The following is a 2,632-nucleotide window of genomic DNA, read 5'->3' on the forward strand; positions in this document are numbered from 1 at the left end:
GCATTTTTCATAATCGCTCAAAATTGGAAGCCACACAAATGTCTATCAGGGGGAATGGTGAATAAATTGTTGTATATCAATACAACAGAGTACTACTCGGCAATAAAAAGAAACAAACCCCTGATGTATGCAACAGTATGGATAAATCTCAGAAGTGTTATGCTGAGCAAAAGAGCCCAGACCCAAAGTGTACACAGTGTGTGTGTGTATACACACAGACACATACCCCTTAGAATATCTATCTATAAATCAGAATATGATACTTAATAGTGCTCCAATAACGTTACTTGTCTCTAAGTTCCACCCAAGAGATGACAGAATCAGAAGGTTCTGATATTTCTTGGAGATCTTTAGCCAGCCCTCTGAACCCTAACAGTTCAGAAGTAATTACGGCCCGAGTTACAGATCAAGCCAGCAGACACTACTTTCTTCTCTGAGTAATAAGACAAAACACAGGAAGCTGCGGCTTGGCAGTGATTCTTTGATAAAAGGAAAGCTTGTAGAACAAACCATAGGGAGGGAGAGGGATAGGAAGGAAGGAAGGAAGACACAAGTAGAATTGTGAATAATTAGGTTTCTCCCTTCTGCTTTGACTCCAGGTTTTTTCTTCAGTTCTATGATTGGTCATGTCTATAGGTAACAAATAATTACTGTGTTCAGTGCAGGATAGCCTGGTGGAAGGCAAACAGCCCTTGAAGCTCTCAGATCTAGGCTTCAATGCCAACTTTTCTATTGCATGGCTGAGTGATCCTCAGCAGGAGACACAGGATCTCCGTATTGCAGTCTCCTCATCTCCAAGATGAGGATAATAAAAGAATCTAGCTTACAGGGGCATCCTGGGGATTAAACAGCACAGGCTTCCATTGAAATGTATTAGAAACTGGGTAGTCAAAAACTGGAGTATTCAAGTGTGTGACCAAGAATAGACACAGGCTGCACAGAGCTCAGGGCCCAGTCCAGATTGGACGAGAAAGTTCCCTAGGCCAAGCTGGCTAAGCACCGCAGGTACCATTATAACGCCAGCCCTGAGGGATGTGAGCCAACTACTTAAGAATTAGAGAGGCCATAAAAGGCTTCGGCCTCCTCCACCCAATTCCTCAGCCACTTTCCTCCCAGAGGACCTAAGCTCTGTCCCCTACCACTGTTTGTCCTCTTGGTACTGGAATCCCCAGAGCAGAATGTGAGTGTGTCCTCCACCTGGGGAAGGATTGCGTCACAAGCTGGGTGCCTCCTGTGAAGTGTTTGCCCTGCTTGGGCTTAGTAAATACAAATGGCGGCCACCATCTGCTCTTGACCCTTCTGCTCCACGAGCGCGGAGGCTCCCTGGCCCAGTTGGTACTGGGTGCTTCTCCGCAGCGGCCGCCAGGGGGAGCCTGGGCCGAGAGCTCTGGGAAATCGAACAACTCGTTGAGGTCTTAGTTATGGTAGAAAACCTTGAAGTGGTGTTAGGTCAGCACCTGCGAGGGTCTCATTCTAAATACACCAGTATTTGGAGGATGTTTGAGAAAGGGAAATTGTCCAACAGTTAAGTAAAAAGAGCTGGAAACAAATTATCTCCATACTCTCCCTTCACTGGCTGAGAGACTAGTCTGGGTCTTCCCTGACTGCCCAATTTACATTCAGATGCTATGCAGTGGAGCCAGGTGCCGTGGGTCATGCTTGTAATCCCAGCACCTTAGGAGGCTGACGCAGGAGGATGACTTGAGCCCAGGAGTTTAAGGCTGCAGTGAGCCGTGATCACACCACTGTACTTCATCCAGCCTGGACAACAGTGTAAGACCCTATCTTAAAAAAAAAAAAAAAAAAAAAAAAAAAAAAAAACTGTGTAGTGGAAAGAACAAGAATCAGAAGTCATGGGTGGATCCAAGACTGTTCTGGACCCTCCCTAGTTATGAGAACTTGGACATGTCTCTATTTCCCTGAGCCTTTGTTTTTTAATAATGTCTGTTACCATTCATCAGTTATTTTCCATATGCCATGCTGCCAAAAATTATCTCATTCAATCCTTGCCATAATTACATGAACAAAGTGTTTGCTATGTACAGTTTATAGATTAAGAACTGAGGCATAAAAAGTAGCTTACCCGAGGTTTTTAATCTACTAGTTGTTCAGATCTTTCTGACTTCAAAGAGTATGCTGAAGCCCTCTTCTATTTCCACTATACTCTCATTTTCAAATGAGCAATAGTAATAATAATAATATTGCCTTTATAACAGATTTTTACTTGCAAACTTGAAAGTTATTCAAATGATTATATTCTAAGTTTCTTGTTGTATGTTTTGGGATCTGCAATGAGCTGAATGACATATGAATGTCTCAAAATTCATATGTTAAAATCTCAATCCCCAATATAATGGTATTAGGAAATGGGACCTTTGGGAGGTGATTCAGTCATGAGAGTGGAGCCCTCATGGATGGGATTAGTGCCCTTATAAAAGGGACCTCAGAGTGCTCTCTAGGGCACCCCCCACCGCTTTTTTTTTTCCACCATGTGAAGACACAATGAGAAGACAGCAGTCTGCAACACAGAAGAGGGCCCTCATCAGAACCTGACCATGTAGGCACCTTGATTTCAGACTTCCAGCCTCCAGAACTGTGAGAAATAAATGTCCATCATTTATAAGCCACCGAG

At 43.7% G+C, this 2,632-nt stretch overlaps 1 annotated feature.

Moving 5' to 3' along the window:
• Positions 1,201–1,495: an enhancer, noted in NCBI's record as "tiled region #1666; HepG2 Activating non-DNase unmatched - State 8:EnhW, and K562 Activating DNase unmatched - State 8:EnhW". NCBI's record gives its function as "activates a minimal TATA promoter and a strong SV40 promoter by Sharpr-MPRA in HepG2 and K562 cells {active_cell/tissue: HepG2 | K562}" and the evidence as "EXISTENCE:reporter gene assay evidence [ECO:0000049][PMID:27701403]".

Source organism: Homo sapiens, chromosome 11 (genome assembly GCF_000001405.40).
Source record: "Homo sapiens chromosome 11, GRCh38.p14 Primary Assembly".
NCBI lineage: Eukaryota > Metazoa > Chordata > Mammalia > Primates > Hominidae > Homo > Homo sapiens.